The sequence below is a fragment of the Homo sapiens genome, chromosome 3 (genome assembly GCF_000001405.40).
Source record: "Homo sapiens chromosome 3, GRCh38.p14 Primary Assembly".
NCBI classification, from domain to species: Eukaryota; Metazoa; Chordata; class Mammalia; order Primates; family Hominidae; genus Homo; species Homo sapiens.
Window position 1 is genome coordinate 178,337,331 of NC_000003.12, and position 20,099 is coordinate 178,357,429.

At 34.7% G+C, this 20,099-nt stretch overlaps 1 long non-coding RNA gene across 3 annotated transcripts in view, besides 1 other annotated feature; it reads right to left on the reverse strand.

Annotated features, from left to right (window-relative positions):
• The window catches only part of LOC105374235 (uncharacterized), a 221,596-nt gene that overhangs the window by 173,633 nt on the left and 27,864 nt on the right, over nucleotides 1-20,099 (reverse strand). Inside the window, exon 3 of one of the 3 annotated variants that reach the window (NR_188690.1) lies at nucleotides 8,796-8,848. The exons of the other annotated variants lie outside the window; for them this stretch is intronic. This is a non-coding gene — a long non-coding RNA (uncharacterized LOC105374235). The remainder of the gene's footprint in view (nucleotides 1-8,795; nucleotides 8,849-20,099) is intronic. 3 annotated transcript variants of the gene reach the window in all.
• Nucleotides 6,347-6,846: an enhancer, noted in NCBI's record as "H3K27ac hESC enhancer chr3:178061465-178061964 (GRCh37/hg19 assembly coordinates)". NCBI's record gives its function as "activates a minimal SCP1, AML or CMV promoter by ChIP-STARR-seq in primed H9 embryonic stem cells {active_cell/tissue: H9 hESC(primed)}" and the evidence as "EXISTENCE:reporter gene assay evidence [ECO:0000049][PMID:30033119]".

Genomic DNA, 20,099 nt, shown 5'->3' on the forward strand with positions numbered 1-20,099 from the left:
TTCAAGAATATTTTCAATAAATTATAGTTACAGGTTTGCAATTATTTCATTTCCCCATTTTGACAATACCATTTATTTTCCTTCCTGTCTTTATTATTTCTGTTGAAAATTTGGCTTTCATTCTAATTGTTGTTCCCTGAAAATAATTTATTCATATAATCTATATTAATATTTTTTCTTCAAATTTAGCTTCAATACTGCTATGATCATAAGCCTGCATGTGACTTTCTTTTAAATGTTTCTACTTGGGATTTGTAGGATTTGTAGGCTTCTAAGCTTGATGCTTTTCCTCAATTAAAAACAAATTATTTATCATTACATTCTCTAATATCATTTCTGTCCTATCCTCTCTTCCTTTTTATTTTGGGATTAGATTATATATAAGCAGACCTATACACTGTCTCTCTTTTTTTCTCTTTATATTTTCTAGACTTATATATAATTTGTTTTGGTATTCGAAATTTATTTCTAATCTGTAATCTAGTTCACAAATTCTCTCTTGTCTGCCGTTAATTCCACTATTTGAGTTTTTCACTTTGGTGTTTAAGTTTCTCAATTACAGAATTTCAATGTGGTTCTTCCCAGTTTCAAGCTTAAATTATTTTATTCCTGCCCTTAACTTCTTAATTTAGTGAGCATACTTATTTTAAAACCTGGAATTGACAACTTCCCCCAGTGGTTCTGTTTCTGTTATTATCATTATTGATATTACTTTCCAGTCATGTTATTTTTACAACTTATATAACTAGCATTTTGATTTCATGTTTTAAATATTGTATTTTCATTTTTAAAATGTCAGCCTTAATTTTAGATACAGGGGTACATGTACATATTTGTTACATGGGAATATTGCCTGATGCTGAGATTTGGAGTATGGATCCTGTCATCCTGGTACTAAGTATAGTACTCAATGGGTATTTTTTGTAACCCAGCCCCTCTCCCTCCATCCTCTAGTAGTCTGTAATGTTTATTGTTTCCATACTTATGTCATGTGTGCTAGTATTTTCAAAACTTTGTAGATAGTTTGAGTAATAGAAACATTTTGTTTTTCCCGAAAGTATTTAAATTTTTATATTCAGAGTACCTAGCCATCTGGGATTACTCAAAGCTGAGATGCCCACAAAGCTGAACTGCAGTCCCTGCAGAAGCCATCTTCTTCTGTATCACAGTTACTCTCTAGTGAGGCTTTTTAGAGTTCCATCTCAGTGTAAGGAAGATGCATCAGGACTTTTACTGGTGTGCCTTGTACCCAGAGGTTTTTACTCTAGCCTTGAGGCTATCAAATGAGCCATCCATCCTTTTATTCTTTCAGCTCCCTCATAGATTTTTTTACTTACTCCCAGGTGAAATATAACTCAAATTCCTCTGATTTTCAACCTTTCCACACATCCCAGACTGATAATTCCTCACTATTATGCTATCTCCCTATTACTTTCAAGCAAAATTTTTTATATATCGACAAGATTTTCAATTGACTTCTAGGGGATAGTTGGACCAAGTTACCCAATCTGCCATTATAGGAAGCAGAAATGTAAAGTTAAACATTTTTTTAAAAATTTATACTATAAGAAGACAACTATTATTTAACTATAATAATATTATTTGATGGGGTAATTACAGCAAGTTAGGGAAATAATCAAATACCACCTGCGATAGTCAAAATAATCAAATCTATGCACTTTATCAAAATTTTTAAATTAGCATAATTTACTGTTTTTATAAGAAAGGATTTTTTTCAAAGCATTATTTATACACACTACAGAGTATTCTTTATTTAGACATATCATGACTTACCCTACTGTATCCCTCTTTCACAATAAATATCATTCTGCACAAATCATTATATTTGCTAGCAGTTTGGGTTATTAGTTTTTCCTTTCATTTAGAAAAATGGCTGTTGTATTTATTTAATATAACCAGCAAATATTCATTGCTTAGTTCTATTTTACTAATTTCTTTTATAAATATTATTATTCTGTTTTTCCATAAGTTTGACCTTTTTTTCTGACTTTCTATCTTAAATGCTCAGGTCACATATTTCTACTGGCTTTCATTTTAAAAAAATGTGTTTAAGGCCACAGCTATGTCATGGTTACACTGTTATGTTGTTCATTTCTAATATAATTCATTATGTTATATCCTGTTTATTATGTTTTGTTGTTAAATTTCTATATATTTTACAACTATCATTATTTTACTCTTTTACCTGAGGGTACTTTACAATGACTAATTTTTCACACGACTCAAAAAAGTTTATAATTCTGACACTCCTGACCTATGACCACAGACAATGGGCATGAGATTTAAAATTATATTATATAACAAAAATGTGTCATTTTGATTTGATAGTAAATGTTTAATTTAACCTTTTCACCCTTAAACCCTATTTTATTTTGCTCTATTGTATTGCTCACTCCAAAGAAAGCGGTTGCCATGTTGTGTGGATTTGCAACCTACCAACAGTAAAATGAGAGGGCTTGGAAGCAGATTCCCCTGCAGCTGAGCTTGAGATGACTCCAGACCTGGCCAGTACCTCGATTACAACCTTGTCAGTGACCCTGAGACAGAACCATTCAGCTAAACCACCCCAGGTGGTTATAGTCTGTGAGAAAAACAAATGTTTGTTGCTTCAAGCCACTAAGTTTTGGAGTAATGTGTTACACAAGAAAGAGATAACTAGTATACATCTCATTTCTTTTCTACCAATATTAAATAATTAATAAAATTTCAAGTGACAAGGTAACACATAGGAAAAAGAGGGTATGGCTAAACCAAGATGTTTAAAACAAAATTACGGTCAAGTCTCAATTGTGTATAAGTAAGGAAATAGAAAGTACTAATCTCTCCAGATATGATGATAAGAAACCTGGATATCTGTCCATGGGGTCAGGAAATAAAAATCCAATGTTGAGAACCAAAGAAGATGAATGGAGTTAAATGAATAGTTTATGACTTCCCAAATGCAGTTCACCTGAACCAAGTTCATGGCCACGGCCCAACCTTCACCACCTTATACCTTATTGAGTTGTATCACAGAAGTGTCGTTGGCTTACTTGCAGACTGCTGATTGAAATCTGCTCTGCCGTCAAGCTTCAGGTTCATGGCAGTGCACTGTATTCCAATCTCTTTTGTCCTTACATGTATTTAACACGAGGAATTATGGTTTAAATTGAACCTAAAAGCTAAAATTTCTGTGACAGATATTTATTTAAAGCCAAATAAGAAATGCTATGCTCTGTCAAATCCTTTGGGAAGAATCTTCAAGAGAATTACATTTCCTGCTGTGTGTTTTATCTCTTTCACAATACAAAAGATGGGACTTTTCCTTTTGGGGTGTTTTAAGATCTCTGACATCTGGTTTAGAAAGTGATGAACGTGCAACTTCAGTAATATCTTGCTTTTGTCACAGGAAACATCAATAGACAGAACTATGCCTGTGACGTTCATACTAGTGCACTCTATCATAACAACATTTTTGTTAAAATTTGGACTTGGTCCTGTCACTTGACTTGTGGAGAATGGGTTATCTTGTTTCAAAAATCTTTGCCAACTATCAGTCATCATTAGTGAAAACATCTTTTTTCTGCCCCATACTAATAATTCAATATACATACTTTCTCAATCACATCTTTGTTGTCTTGTTCCCCCTCATCCTCCTTTGCTCCAATTTTTCATTTTAGTATAGCTGTTCCAATTTCTGGTGCCTTTTGAAAAATTGTCATAAAGCTTCCTGTCTCTCTGTTTTTATTCTCTGACCTTGGCTAACTGGAAGTCCTGAAACCTAAAACAGATATTTTTACTTCTACTTGTAAAAAGACCACCTATGAATAACTATAAATGTATGATTATAAACAAGAGAGGCATTTGGGGAGACATTCCTTAGCAGACTCCTCTTATAAAGCAGTGCAACATATTGCATAAGGGCTCAGGCTTTGGACACAGGTGGATATGGGCTTACGTTCTAGTTTTGCTATTTAACTGTGTGACCATGGGGAGAGTTCTGTATGTTCTCCAGGTATCAGGTTCCTTATATATTAAATGGTATTTGCCTAGAATATTACTTTGGGTTTTAGATATAATGATGTATGTAAAGTGTTTTTAAAAAGAGCTTGGAATATAATAAATGCTCAGAAATTATCAGCCCTACCTCTCCCAGGAAAGGCTGGTTTTGGTTATGCTATCATATCATAGGTTTTTCTACAATAATGAGATAGATAACTTTTTCTTTTATTGGATATAGAATGAAGAAATTTAGCCCACAAGACAAGCATATTAAGGGAACTATGTGGCCTTTTTAACAGGGTTTACTTCAGGTCCACAGCAGTATATGTGAACACACTGTTGACTGATAAGGGATGTAAAAACTACCTCTTAGGCCCGGTGCGGTTGCTCACACATGTAATCCTAGCCCTTTGGGAGGCCAAGGCAGGTGGGTCACTTGAGGTCAGTAGTTCAAGACCAGCCTGGCCAACAAGGTGAAACGCCATCTCTACTAAAAACACAAAAAATTAGCCAGGCGTGGTGGTTCCTGCCTGTAATCCCAGCTACTCAGAAGGCTGAAGCAGGAGAATCACGTGAACCCAGGGGGAGAGGTTGCAGTGAGCTGAGATCACGCCATTGCACTCCAGCCTGGAGGAAAAGAGTGAAACTCCATCCAAAAACAAAAAAACGAATAACAACAACAAAAAACACCTCTTATTAAGTTCCTGATCTATGTGAAGAAATGTATGATAGCCATTAGATAGAAAGATAGATGATGATGATAGATGATAGATGGATAGAAAGAAATGGAGTCATGAGATCACAGAATTTGAAAAGTTAAGAAAGCTTAAATAATTGGTAATGCAACCCCTAATTTTACAGATGAAAGGAAAGATACGATGCTGAATTTGCAAGAACACAATTGTCTCAGATTCCTTTCTCATGTTATTTCCACTACACCAAAATGTTGACTGCAGACATTTCCACAGAATCTTGCAAACAGCACTAAAGAATTCATTTGCAACTATTTGTACAATGCAAAATATTTCAAGAATTTGAAATCGAAAGACCTCTTACAGAAGTTTATTGAAGATTGTTACTTTTTGATAAAGCAAAATATTTTGCCTAAACTAGATATACACCTGCATTTGAATCTATTTCATTGTCCTACCAGACAATAAATGGCCTTTGAAGGTAAAAATGGATTTACTACTTAAAATCATTCAAGCATATGCAGTCAGAACTGTGGAAAGCAGTAAGTGCAGTTATCAAGTAAAATTCCCAAAGTGTATAACCTTCTCTCATCCAGCATGTTAAGCCTTTTGGCAAAGTTTATTAGCATTTTAAAAACACTAAAATGAAAAATAAAGTCTCCCTACTTTTAGAATAAACTAAAATATACTGAATACCAATGCTTCAGGAACTTTAAGAAACACTTTCAAAGGGGGAGGACACAGCCACGTGGAACAGCTCCCACACAGGGCCTGAGACAGTTGGCGTGCTTTTAACAGATCTTCAGAGGGACGGTATTGAGAATGGACAGAGGGAAGACCCAGAAGCTAGACTGAAGGGGGAGAAAGCTGGAAACTCTGCACAAGGCTACTGTGCACCAGAACTCATTTTTGGACCATAACAGCACTAGGGGAATGGGTGAGTTGAATTGGTAAGGAGCAACCCACTCTTGCCACAGGCCTCTGGAACCCCAGCATGAGGAGACCCCTTGACTACCACTGACACATGAGTTGGCAGAGAGACCTGCTTAGAGAATTTGAAAAATTAAGAAACCTTAGAGAAGCGGTAGGGGCAGAAGCCAGCTGATGGGGAAATCAGAGGGTTTGGTGTGAGAACATCTGCAGCAGAGCATGTCCAGGGACAGTCATCTTCTTAGGCCCAAGTTGCTCCCACTGAGACTTCAGCCCTCGGGGAGCTGTTGGACCTGATCTCTGCAGGGTGGTCTTGCCCATCAGATGGGGCTGGTCAAATCTAAACATCCTTTGGTCTGCTGTCCTCTCCTGAGACCCCAGCCTGGCCATGGCTGCTTGCAGGGCAGTCTTGGGTACCCTTGGGGCCTGAACAATAGCTTCTGTGCTGGTTGACCATGACCAGTGGAGAACTCCAGAGAGGCGGCCCCTATGGTGGTACATCAGCCAACCTGCTCCCTCCCCGTACTGCAGTTTCCCCTGTGACCGTGGTAACTCCCTACATTGCTTTGCTGGCACCTGTCTGCATAGGCAGGTTTGCTTTCCTTACCCCACCCAGGCAAAGGAGTTCAGTCTGCCCGCCCTTCCCTTACTGCCCTGCCATTGTAGACAAAGCCTTGGTGGGCACAGAGCCAGCAAGGCTCACCACCTTCCTTGTAATAACATTGCACAGAGAACAGCAGATCCTCCTCCACCCTGAGCAATCACTCCTGCTTGTGGGGTACAGAGAAAGCACCCAGACCTGAACTTGCCAGCACCTCACCCCGAAGCCAACACCACCTACAGCACAACCATGTGCAGTCTCCAGCATGGGCCCCTGCCAACCCAGCTGCATTGCCTCCACCACTGTGGTACATGCCTGCAGGGAGGCAGGCACTCTGGCACCCACTAGCACTCTACCATAGCTGCTGCACCTCAGCTCCCTCAGTGCAATGAATTCCAAACCTCAAGGATCCAGATCCAAAGAACAAACTCAAGGCCCAAGTCCCCCAGATTTAGAGCACACAGTCCAGGAGTTGGGAGCTAAGGAATGACCACCTAAAGTCTCTCAGAAAGAAAGCCAGATGGCTGAATCCACCTTCTACTACAATCAAACCCTCAAGGTCACCAAACAGGATAAAAGAAATAAAACCCATTTGAAGGTCAACAACCTCCAAGATTGAAGGTAGATAAGCTCTCAAAGATAAAAAAGAATCAGCAAGATAACTCTGAAAACTCAAAATGCTGGAGTGCCTTCTTTCCTCCAAATGACTGCATCACCTCTCCAGCAAGGGTTTTGAACTGAGCTGAGATGGCTGAAATGACAGTAATAGAAATCAGAATATGAATAAGAAAAAAGGTCATTGAGCTACAGGAGTATGTTGAAACCTAATGCAAGGAAAGTAAAAATTACGATAAAACAATGCAGGAACTGACAGACAAAATAACCAGTATAGAAAAGAATATAACAGACCCAGCAGAGCTGAAAAACAGTACAAAAGTTTCATAATGTAATCACAAGTATTAATAGCAGAATAGAACAAGCAGAGAAAAGAATCCCAGAGCTTGAATACTGGCTTTCTGAAATAAGACAGCCTGACAAAAATAAATAAAAAAGGATGAAAAGGAACCAACAAAACCTCCAAGAAATATGAGATTATGTAAAGAGACCAAATCTTCAACTCATTGGTGTCCCTGAAAGAGATGGGGGAGAATGCCAACTTGGAAAACATATTTCAGGATATCATCCATGAGAACTTCCCCAGCCTAGCTAGAGAGGCCAATATTCAACTTCAGGAAATACAGAGAACTCCAGTAAGTTACTTCACAAGAAGATCATCCCAAGACACATAATTATCAGAGTTAAAATGAAAGAAACATCAGCTGGCTTCTGCCCCTACCGCTTCTCTAAGGTTAGTCAAATGTTAAAGGCAGCTAGAGAGAAAGGTCAGCTCACCTACAAAGAAATTTCATGTTCATGGGTAGGAAGAATCAGTATCATTAAAATGGTCCTACTGCCCAAAGCAATTTATAGATTCAATGCTGTTCCTATTAAACTACCATTGAGAGGAGGAAGGAGAGGATCAGAAAAAAATAACTAATGGATACTAGACTTAATACCTGGGTGATGAAATAACCTGTATAACAAACTCCCATGACACAAGTTTACCTGTATAACAAACACACACATACCCCTTAACTTAAAAGTTAAATAAAGACACACTTTCACATACATCATCTTAATCTCATGACTCTAAAAAGCTAGTGGAAATCTTTATTTAACTGATGATGAATTTAAGGTTCACAAAATTAAGTTACTGATCTACAATCACATAAATATAAATGATAAATATAAATATAAATCACATAAAAATAAAAATATAAATAAGAGAGCCAGGTCTCCAACCTGAGTCTCAATTCCAAATGCCATACATTTGACTATAATTATTTCAGAAAGCCTCTTGAATTTTTGGTTTATGTGTTTGTTTTACCACAAAAAGTCAATATTAGAGAATGTTCAGCAAAATGGAAACAAATTTAATATGATCCTATTACCTGGAATAACTTTTCTATTTTTCATGTGTTCCCCAATGATATTTATCCAAAAGCATTCATAATTTTACACAGCTCTAATCCCAGTGTGTGTTAATTTTTATTAAGATTTTGACTTACTTAACATGCTACCATGATTTTACATATGCTTTTTGCTATTTTCATGATTGTATAATATTTAATTACTTCATTGGACAGTGATTCATTCTAGTTTCCACTAATATTGGATAATTAATACAGTAAAAAACAATTTTGTACATATAGCTTTCTACTTTTGTTTCAATATTTCTTTATGCTACATTTCCAAGAAATTAAGACTCCTGAATTAAGAGCAGATTTTTAAATGTCTTTTTATAGTATCGACAGCTTGCTTTCCAAATGCATTATATAAATTTACAGTGTATTATTGCATTTGGTGTTCATAACACCCCACAATCACAAAGTTCTAGTGAACCCACGATTTTTGGGAATTTAGCGAGATTCACAGTAAGTACAAGGTAAGTGTATTAATCTGTTTTGTGTTGCTGTAACAGAACACCACGCACTGGGTAATCAATAAAGAACAGAAATTTATTAGCTTACCAGTCTGTAGGCTGGAAAGTCCAAAGTCAAAAGGCCAGTATCTAGTGAAGGCCCTATTGGTAAGTCCACCCCATGGTGGAAGGCAGAAGAGCAAAAGGGGGCAAGAGAGAGAGCAATAGGGAGTAAATCCACTTTCATGATAAGGAACACAATCCTGTGATAATGGCATGGTCTATTCATGATCTAATCACCTCTTATAGGTCCTACCTCTTCATACGGTTACAATGACAATTAAATTTCAATGTGGGTTTTGGAGGGGACAAACATTCAAACTATCACAGTTACCTTATTAAGCTTCTAACTAAATGAGGGTACCAACAATCTTCAGAGGCCACACTTTTCAATCAAACCAGAACTTGTTTCCAATGTAGAAAGAATGCAGTACATTCTGAGAAAGATGGATCGACAGGTAACTCTGTCATATTCTTTCTTACTGGTGTTCCTTTCCTATAATAGCCAACAATGATGAGAGTAAGAAAAGGAAAAACAGGGCAACTTATAGTTCCTTTTTTTTTCAGTCCTTCCTTACTCATAAGTAAGCTAAAGATAGTGTTGACAGAATGTGCAAGTGTCAAGAAATGAAATAAAAACAGCTAATTAAGGTTGTGCATGATTTCCACTCTTTGGGTGAGAATAAAAAAAGTTCATGTATGAACTATGAAATACAGACTGTTCAAATTTGTGATTCTGCATATAAACAAAATGTTTTTATATTTGCATATAAAACTGTCATTTTGCAATTTAAACAGTAAAGTTCATGCTAATAATATAAAAATTTAATTTTTTTTTTTTTTTTTGCTTAGAGCAACATTAAATAGCAAACGTGAAACACCACGGCAAGTCAAGAGACAGACCATGGAATGGAAAAAAAAGCTTTATATTTTAGTACTTTAGTGGCACCTTTTTCCTGCTTTTTGAACAAGGAGCTCCACATTTTCATTTTGCACCGAGCCCTGCAAATGATGTAGCTGGCCCTGTCTTTAAGTATTGAGAAGCTGTCAAGTTTATAGTGGTGGATACACATTTTCAAACTTCTGATTTTAACTGAAAAGCTCAAATTTTATCATTGGCCACAAATACTGTCAGTTTTGTTCCTTGAAGTGACAAGCTCACTTCACCCTTTTTTGAGAAAATGTCTGCCAAATTCCCTAGTCTGAATAACCAGTTTCCTTCAAGAAAAAAAATAACATTTCATGAAAAAAAGGGGCCAGTTCAGCTCTCAACAATGCCACAGCCATACAACTACCCTTTCAATGTAGCAGAAATGCTTTATGCATACTTCCTACTTACACATAATATTAAAAAGACATGTAACCAAAGATCAAGATTTAATAAAAATTCATAATTTTAATGCTTCTTCCAATACATTTGTAAGTAAAACTTGCTTTTTTTTTTTCTGTATGTGCTTGGCAACAAAGAATACAATGTCTACCAGTATCGTTTTTTTTTTCCACATTGCCTTGATTCATGCTATATATCTAGCAGTTTTCCCTATGATGGTATATGCATTATCTGTGCAAATGTCAACACAGCAAAAAATATAAATAATTTTTAGTATTATTATGAAAATAATTTTGATTTCATAGACCTCCAAAAAGGTTCTCAGAGGCCTCCAGATGTCCATAGGTCATACTTTGAGAATCACTACATTAGCTAATTCATTGTAACAGGGAGAATAAAATAAACCAAAGAAAAGTAATTTGTATTTAAAACAAAATTTTAAATTATGCTTTACTAATATGTAATATACAAATGGACACTGGCATCATCATTTTTGCATGTCAAATGCCTATTAATCATATATAATAGATAAAATATCCCAGGGGAAGAATAAGATTTCCTCAACCCCAAAATGTTGACAGATTACTCATTTGTTCTTTCATATTTTGATTTATCATGTCAAGTGGATTGCCAAAATTATGCATTTCTGCTAATCCTCACAAAAGTGGTCACATGATTTTCAAATATTTATGCAAGAAAACAAGGGGCTACAAATAATAGAGCACAAGAAAATAAAAATAAAATGGCAAAACCAGCACTTCTACTCCTGAAGTGAGCTCTTTGTCGGTCACATTCTTAGGTAAGAATCAGTGATGAACTCATCAGCGATAACAAGAAGCCAGTCAAAAGTGTTGAAAATTATCAAAAAGATGATTTGATAATAAATGATCAATCTAACCCTAAAAAGTGTACAGTGTAACTTGTACACACTTAAGACAGTAACACATATATACATAAATAATTATTAAAAAATAAAATTATGTAAATAAAATGAAAAGTACTGTCAATTATGACTCCACTAGAAACTAAAGTTATTATTAATCTAGTTATACACACATGAGATTGATAAAGAAGAAAGATGTGAGGGTGAAATTTATGTGTCAACTTGACAGGGCTGAGGACACCCAGATATCTGGTATAATGTTATTTCTGAGTGTGTCTGTGAGAGTATTTTTGGAAGAGATTTGCATTTGAGTCAGTAAACTGAGTAAAAAAGATGCACCCTCACCAATGTAAGTGGGTATCATCCAATCCATTGAGGGCCCAAGTAGAACAACAATGCAGAGGCAGAGGAAATTCTTTCACTCTCTTTTTGAGCTGGGAGCTCTTCTCAAGCCGTCTTCTCTCAGCCTTAGACATCATAGTTCCTGGATCTCCACCCTTCAGACTTTAGAATTTATACCATCAGTTCTACTGCTTCTCTGGCCTTGGTGTGTCCAGAATTGGTTCCTTCCAGTGGGTTCTTGGTCTCGCTGACTTCAAGAATGAAGCCGCGGACCCTCGTGGTGAGTGTTACAGTTCTTAAAGATGGTGTGTCTGGAGTCTGTTCCTTCAGATGATCAGAGTTTCTTCCTTCTGGTGGGTTCGTGGTCTTGCTGACTTCAGGAGTGAAGCCACAGGCCTTTACAGTGAGTGTTACAGCTCTTAAAGGTGTCACATCCGGAGTTGTTTGTTCCTCTCAGTGGGTTCGTTGTCTCGCTGACTTCAGGAATGAAGCCGCAGACCCTCGTGGTGAGTGTTACAGCTCATAAAGGTAGTGTGTACCCAAAGACTGAGCAGCAGCAAGATTTATTGTGAAGAGTGAAGGAACAAAGCTTCCACAGAGTGGAAGGGGACCCAAGCGGGTTGCTGCTACTAGCTTGGGTGGCCAGTTTTTATTCCCTTATTTGGCCCCACCCACATCCTGCCGATTGGTCCATTTTACAGGGTGCTGATTGGTCCATTTTACAGAGTGTTGATTGATGCATTTACAAACCTTTAGCTAGACACAGAGTGCTGATTGGTGCGTTTTTACCGAGTGCTGATTGGTGCATTTAAAATCCTTTAGCTAGACACAGAGTGCTGATTGGTGCATTTTTACAGAGTGCTGATTGGTGCATTTACAATCCTCTAGCTAGACAGAAAAGTTATCCAAGTCCCCACTGGACCCAGAAGCCCAGCTGGCCTCACCTCTCACTGGGACTGAGACTGAATTATACCACTGGCCTTTTTTCATCTCCAGCTTGCAGGTGGCATGCTGTGAGATTTCTTGGCCTCAATAATCACATGAGCCAATTATCATAATAAATCTCCTCTTAAATATCTATATACATCCTATTGGTTCTGTCTTTCTGGAGAACACTAGCTAATACAGTAAAGTACTCTAACTGAAAACTAACCAAAGGAAAACAAAAGACTGGTAAAATAATACTAATATTAGACAAAATAGATTTAAGAAAAATTATTAAAAATACAGAATAGCATAAAATTATAATAAAAAGCCCACAAGGAATATATAGTAATCATAGATGTGTACCATTGAAGATATATTCTTGAAATGTATGAAGCAAAATTAACATTATGGAGAAATAGACAAGTCCACAAGTAAAAAATAAATTAGATTTTCAGATTCTCTTTCTGAAATTTGTAGATAAATCAGCTAAAAATAATTAAGGACATAGAAAAAGTGACCTACACTATTAGTAAGAAAGTGTTTATAAATTTTACAATATCCAATAAAGTTAGATACATTTTTATTTTTCTGCCCCAGAATTACCAATTATGAGCATTCATTTAAATGTTATAATACAGAAAAAATGGAAACAAACTAAAGGTTGGCTAAAAGGGAACATAATAACATGTATGCAATTATTAAAAATAGACATGTCATTACAATATTTTTAAGCAAAGAAAAAAGACAGTACAATGCATATAATTTAATATGTGAATGTAAAAAAATACACAGGTACATATCAACAAAACATGTTTTAAAATAAATTTACAAAACACTCACTATAAACTGTTGAGAGTAGTAGCCCTTGAAAAAGAGTGAAGGAGAAATTTGAATTTTACTAACATACATGTATATTGTTTGAATTTTTTGAAGGCAAGAAAGTATTTAAATATTAACTATATAATAGAGATACAGAGAGACCAAGGGAGAAAACGTGGACAGATCCCTAACTAACTTCAGGCTGCTGCAACAAGAACAGATAAGAAGCTCTGTACTGGCAAGAAAATGGGAAAATAGGTGTTTCTATAAACTGTGAAAGTGTAAATTAATATAATAGAAGGAAATTTGTCATGACTATTGATCTCTGATTTATAATGTAAATGTTTTCTGGTCAGTGGCTGCATGGCAAGCTATGATAAATCAAACTCGATTATTATAGAAACAAAAGTGGAAGTCAATTCATACAATACCAAAATTAATGTAATTTAAAGAAAATGTGTGCAAGTATTAGGCATATATAAGTTAAATTATAAATGCATTTTGAGTGGGTAGGCTGGGAAACCGTTATCCCAAGGAATGGAATGCCTCAGACATAAAATATAAATCTGATGAAACTGGACTGATCATGCTTTTTGCCCCAGTAAATCTTCCTTTAGCAATGATTACTCATTGCTGTGAAGAAATCCAAACAAATTCTAAGAAATGGGATTTTATTCTCAGTTGATTAGATGTACATGAATAACTTTGAGTTTAAATAGTGTAGGAAGAGATAATTATTCATGGAAGCATTTTCAACAAATGTTTACTAGGCAAACGGCAAATGTCTCTAATAAGAGTGGCAAAGAATGGCTGGCACTAAACTTAAAATTTTCTTGTGAAGAAATACATTTTCCCCTGCAAAACACAACATGAAAACGTTATCAGGAGTACAGCCACAGTGAGCCAGAGAAGAGAAAATTGTGCTATCACAACAATGTTTACTTGGCCTCAATACAGTATACTCTGGATTTAAAATGTAATAAAATGGCTGTAAAGAGCTAGGGAATGGGTCAGTCATTATTAGACCAAAATAATTGTGTAAGTTTATATTTAAAGACTATCTAGAGAATAATATTTTAAAAAGGAAGAATTTTGCAAAAAGGATTGAAGAGGATGAGAAAATGAAATAATTGTTTGTCTTTACATACAGGTCAGAAAAAAAGATTAATGAAAGCAAGGCCTGAAAAAAAAAGGAAGAAGAAAATGAGATTTTGTACCCTTGCATAAGCAAAAGACAAATAAGCCCAAATTTTAAAACACATTTATACACAAATTATTAGCACCAGTAAGTACAGTAAAACATTATGACAACTAACCTGTAAAAAATACTTTTTTCTAAGTAGAAACAATGTCAATTTAATCTTAATACACAGTTTAGAAAACAAAAATTGTGAGCTCTTAAAATGAAGATATTAAAAATAAAAAGTAATTATTAGAAAATGCATTTTATATTATCAACAAGATATGCTACAGAACTCCATTTCAACGAAATAAACAGATTCTGATTTCATACATGAACGCTTCGGAAAAATCAGCCAATCACAAATCGTAATTTGACTAAATTGGTCCTTTCTTAAAACCAAAGTAAGTGAATCAACTCAATAAAAGTAATCAAACTTTTTTCCTGCCATAAAAGAGGGCTACAATTAATGAATAAATAAGTGGTAAATTGATGAACGAATGGATGAGGGTAAACATATTTCAATTAACATTAAATACAGATGCAGTCACTAAAAATATTTTTTAAAAATGTGAAATAATAAGGAATAATAAAAACAAAACTAACGTTCTATAAAAATAACCCTCAAATAACAACCAAAATATAATTTGAAACACATGGAAAGTACAGGACATTGAGAAGGGAAGCAAATAAATAGAGAAAAACAAATAATATTTTTTTCAATACAAGGGGAAAGTATAGGGTATCACACACTAAAAAGAGAACCAAGTGTTTAGTTAACCCTGGCCCATTTCTTCTTAAGTTCATTCAAACTAACTGAGAGGTACAGCTGCTGATGCAGTAATTGATGAACACAGATCAAACAGGATTTTTAAGTCATGGGGCAGGTGCTGACAGCCCAGGATGATGGCTGAATATGACAGAAATGTCAAGGGAAAAATATCAAATTTCTTGCATCTCTATACACTGAAATAGTTGGATGTTTCCTTCTCAGCATGAGGATGTTCAAATTGAGAATTTATTTCACAGATTGAAACATTACTCCTGTTTTATTCTGTCTGCATTACATTAGGAAGAATCTCTCATATAAAGCCAATTTTATTTTTTTAAATCTCAAGGCAATAAGCCTTAATTATTCCCTGTAGATTGACAATTTTAGAACAAATGTCGTACGATAGTGTGTGACAGTGAGCTAGAAGCTGGTTAAGTTAATGGGCAGCTGGCCTATTATCAAGGCAAGGAAATTCTTTGGCTGTGCGTCATTAGACTTTACCCTGCTCCCTCCTTAGACCCTGTTGTTAAAAAAAAAATCACAGAAGCATGGAAGCTATGCAGCATATGCAGGGGAAATAGTTGTGATAAAGTGTTGTCTTTTAAATTCCACAGGAAAAAAGCATAAACACTATGATTACTGGCATGCAAAACACATACACATTTTTAAAAAGATTAAAAGAGAATATTTAAATATTAACAGATGGGTTGTATAAAATTTTTTCAGAATTTGCTAAATTTTTAGTTGATTATATAGTCATTAAGTTTTAAAAATCACGTGTAAACACATTTAGATCTAAGATCATTTAGACTGAAGACTACTTGGGCTTCATAAAAAAAACTGTATAACTTGAATTCTTGCCAAAGGCTTCAAATTTAAAAGAGAAAAAAAAACTAAGTACATGTTTCTAATTATCTAATGATGTAGAATACCCTTACCAAATTATCACTTTACTTGCCTTAAATTTCTACCTTCAAATTGCCTATATTAGTCTAAATTTTAATATAAAATTAGTATATAAAATGCCTCTAATAAAATTTAGTCAATAAATTATAGTTGTTTTGTTTTGGTTTTGGCTTTACTCTTTTTTTTTTTTTTGGCTTTACTCTTACAGTGAAACTAGATATGCTAGCCAAGATGACAGGCATCATAGCTTCTATTCATATGGAGGCAATTAAAAGAATACAATTTATAAAATACTAGGAAACCACATGAATGCTAAACCATACAATACCATAAGAGAATAAGACAGTATCAAAGCTTTTTTCACAAACCCTCTCCCCATAAACTTCCATAGAGAGGAACAAAGCTAAGTGCCAGGGAGATTGTGTCCATCACCAACAGACATCTATTCAGTTGTATATTAACATTTTCATCCCTCTGTTTACATAATGGCCTGCCTGCTAGCTATGTTTGTGCTTATTTTTCTGAGATGTGTAATAAACATTATTAACTTTCTTACATATAGCAAGTTTTAAAAGGCAGTAAAAATACTGTCAGTTGTAGGAGGCAGTAGAGTATGATTACTGATACTGTTATTTTGATTTAGTAAACTGATTTCTGAATAGCCTATTTATAATAGAAGGGCCCAATTGTATAATAGGGTTACTAAATGCAAGCACAGTTAGAGAAAGGTAATATTTTTTAAAAAATGAGAGAAAGGTAAGATATAGTTTTGGAAAACTGGAAGATATAAAAGAAAAAATATAGCTAGGAGGCAACTATATTCACACAAGAGTTGTGAAGTCTTCCTGTGGGAAGGAAAATTGAAGAAGGCAATAAAAACAGACAGGGAAACCTATAAGAAAATATACTGGGCTTTGTCATGAATTACAAGCATTTGAACTTTGAGGAGTACTAGTGGCCCAACTTAAAAGGAGGATGAGGACAAAAGGGACATTTTTAAGGATAAAAATGAGAAGTTTGGCTATAGTCACACTAAATTTGTACTTTTTAGGAAATTTCAAGAAAAGTTTTCTTGTAGGTAGTTTGAACTAAAAGGCTGTAGCCTGATGGAAAGATTTGGCAAAGGATTAGGATTTGGGAACAATTGATTTATAGATGAAGATTTAAGACAGAAATAGAGGATAGCAGCTTCTACAAAATAAAGTTTGAGAATAGAGGGTCAAGAAATAAAGTTTGGATATTTCTCACGGTTGAGAGACGGAAGAAGAAAGGAGACCTGGTGATGGAGGGAAGATAAACCACAAAGAGATGAACCAAAAAGAGAAATTGGAATCATCTATATCAGTGAGAGTAAGAGGAAGGAAAAGTTTGGAAAGCAGTTGAAATTGCCAACAGAATCAGAATAGCACTGAGATGTCAAAAAGTAAGAGGACTAAGGAGAAGCTTTTAAATCTGACTGTAAGAACATCATAACAACATTGTAAATACTGGGCTTAATTCAATGGTAGAGGCAGAAGCAAGAGGAATGGGTGGTCAAAATGGATTTGTGTTGCTAAAAAAGAATGATACAAAGTATATCAACGCTACAAAGTACAATAAAATCTGTGAAAAGTCTGTATTTATTTAGATGAAAAGAATTAGATTTTTAATATATAAACATTGAGAGCAAGAAAAAGCAAAATAAAAATTGGTGCTTCTAAACAGAGGAAGATAAGTATGAGCATAATGTCCTTCAGAGGGGAATATGGGATCAGTACGAAGATTATGACAAGAATGGTTAGCTTCAGAGGGAAAGGGCCATTGAGACATAAAAACAAGGACGTATAACGGGGCTTAGAAAAAGACTATGCTTTCAAAAACAAAACAAAACAAAACAAAAAGGCCAGAGAGTTGTCCAATGTCAATAACGACAAAGATAGAATTGAGGGATAAAGAAGCGTACCCACCAAAAAGAATGTAAAAAATCTGTCATGTAGCACTAATGAAATGCAAGTGCATTGACTGTTCAAGGACCAAATTCACATCTTGTTTCAGCTAGGAAAACAGGGAAAAGTATGATGGGGGATGAATATGTGCAAAGACAAAGGGAGAAGTATAACAGGGCCTGAATTCAGAGTATGATAAGAAATTCAGTGTGGTAGGAGCATAAGCGAGTGTCAGAACATGATGTATTCAGGGAAGAAACAAATGATAACTTCATTAAGAATGATTCTAGGATAACAGTGAAAATCACTTTTGTTACTTGCCCTAAAAAAGAACACCTTTGAGAGCTAAGTCACCTTATATGCCTTGAGATATAATTCCCACATTTCTTCACAAGGGAACCCCTTCAACTCCACCTCACACACTTGATGTGTACATTGACAATAATTTAATGAAATTGAATCCTGGCAAAGCTGGTCAGGTGTCAAAGTACTTTCCATTATGCAGACGTTTCCTTGTCAGTGTTTACCATCCAATGTAAATTGAAAACCTGGTTAAGTACTTATATAATAAGTAGAGTCAACCAACATAATTATGAGTCTTTTTCATTTCACAATTAAGAAATGGCCTTATTATAATTATTTGAAGAAGTGGTGTCCTTTACACTTTCTTTTTAAATATATAATGAAGCACCAAAGAGCCTTCTTCTGTGAGCAAAATCAATGCTTTTAATTCTAACATACTAAAAGTAAAGTTGTTTTATTTTCTGTGACTATATCTGAAATTACTGACTGAAATTTTTTTGTGTGCAAAGTCTTTTGCCAATTTATTTATACATTCCTTCAACAACATTTTATTATGTACTTAAGTACCAGGAACCATGCTATGTGCCCAAGATTGTGGTGAAGGAAAACAAGCAATTCCTAGTCTCATAGAGCTCAGAGTTAAATAATAACACAAATAGATACAGAGGTAAGAAAAATATAAGTGTTCTACAGAAAAGAAAAATGTGATCCTATAAGAGTGTAACAATAATAACAAAAAACTTAATCTAGTCTGGAGCTTTGTGAAGGATTCCTGAGAAAAAGCAAACACCACCATAGAAGACTCAACTGTATGCTGCCAACAAGAAACTCACATTACCTTAAATGACACTCATAGACTGAAAGTGAATAGATGAAAAAAGATATTTCATGCAAATGCAGACCAAAAGAGAGGAGAGGTAACTATATTTATTTCAGACAAAATAGACTTTAGGCCAAAAACGTAAAAATAACACAAAGAATGTCATTATATAGTGATAAATGGATCATTTCATCAAGAGAATATGAGAATTGTAAATATATATGCACCCAACATCAGAGCACCTAAATATACAATGCCAACACTAAAAGATCTGAAGAGAGGCAGGATACAACACAATAATTATATGGAATTTTAATACCCCACATTTAATACCCCACATTAGTCAGAAGAAAATATTGAACTTGAACTACATTTTAGACCAAATGGATCAGAGAGATATATACAAAACATTGCTCTCAACAGCAACAGAATACACATTCTTCTCAAGTGTACTTAGAACCTTTCATAGGATAGATTACATGTTAGGCCATAAATTTAAGAAGGTCAAAATCATATCAACTATCTTTGCCAACCATAATAGTATGAAACTAGAAATCAATAACAGAAAGAATCATGGAAGATTATCAAATATTAGAAATTAAATAATATGCTTCTGAACAATTATGGGATAAAAGAATAAATTAAAAGGAAAATTTAAAAACAGGTTGAGACAAACAAATATGAACATACAGCATATTAAAACTTATGGTATATAGCAAAAGCAGACTTAAGGGGAAAGTTTACAGCAATAACACCTACATCCAAAAAAAAATCAAATAAACAACTTCATGTTACACCTTAAGAAACCAGATAAAGAAGAAAAAACTAAACCCAAAGATATCAGAAGAAAGGAAATAACGACGTTGGGAGCAGAAAGAACTGAAGTAAGAGACTAGAAAAACAATATATAACATCAATGAAATCAAAAGTTGTTTCTTGAAAAGCTAAACAAACTTGACAAACAGCTAGACAAAAAAAGAAGCAAGACTCAAGTAGATAAAATCACAAATGAAAAAGAAGACATTACAACTGATAAAAAAATACAAAGGGTAATAAGCAACTACTATGAACAACTATATGCCAAAAATCAGACAATCTATAAGTGGACAAACTCCTAGAAATATATAACCTATTAAGACTTATTTA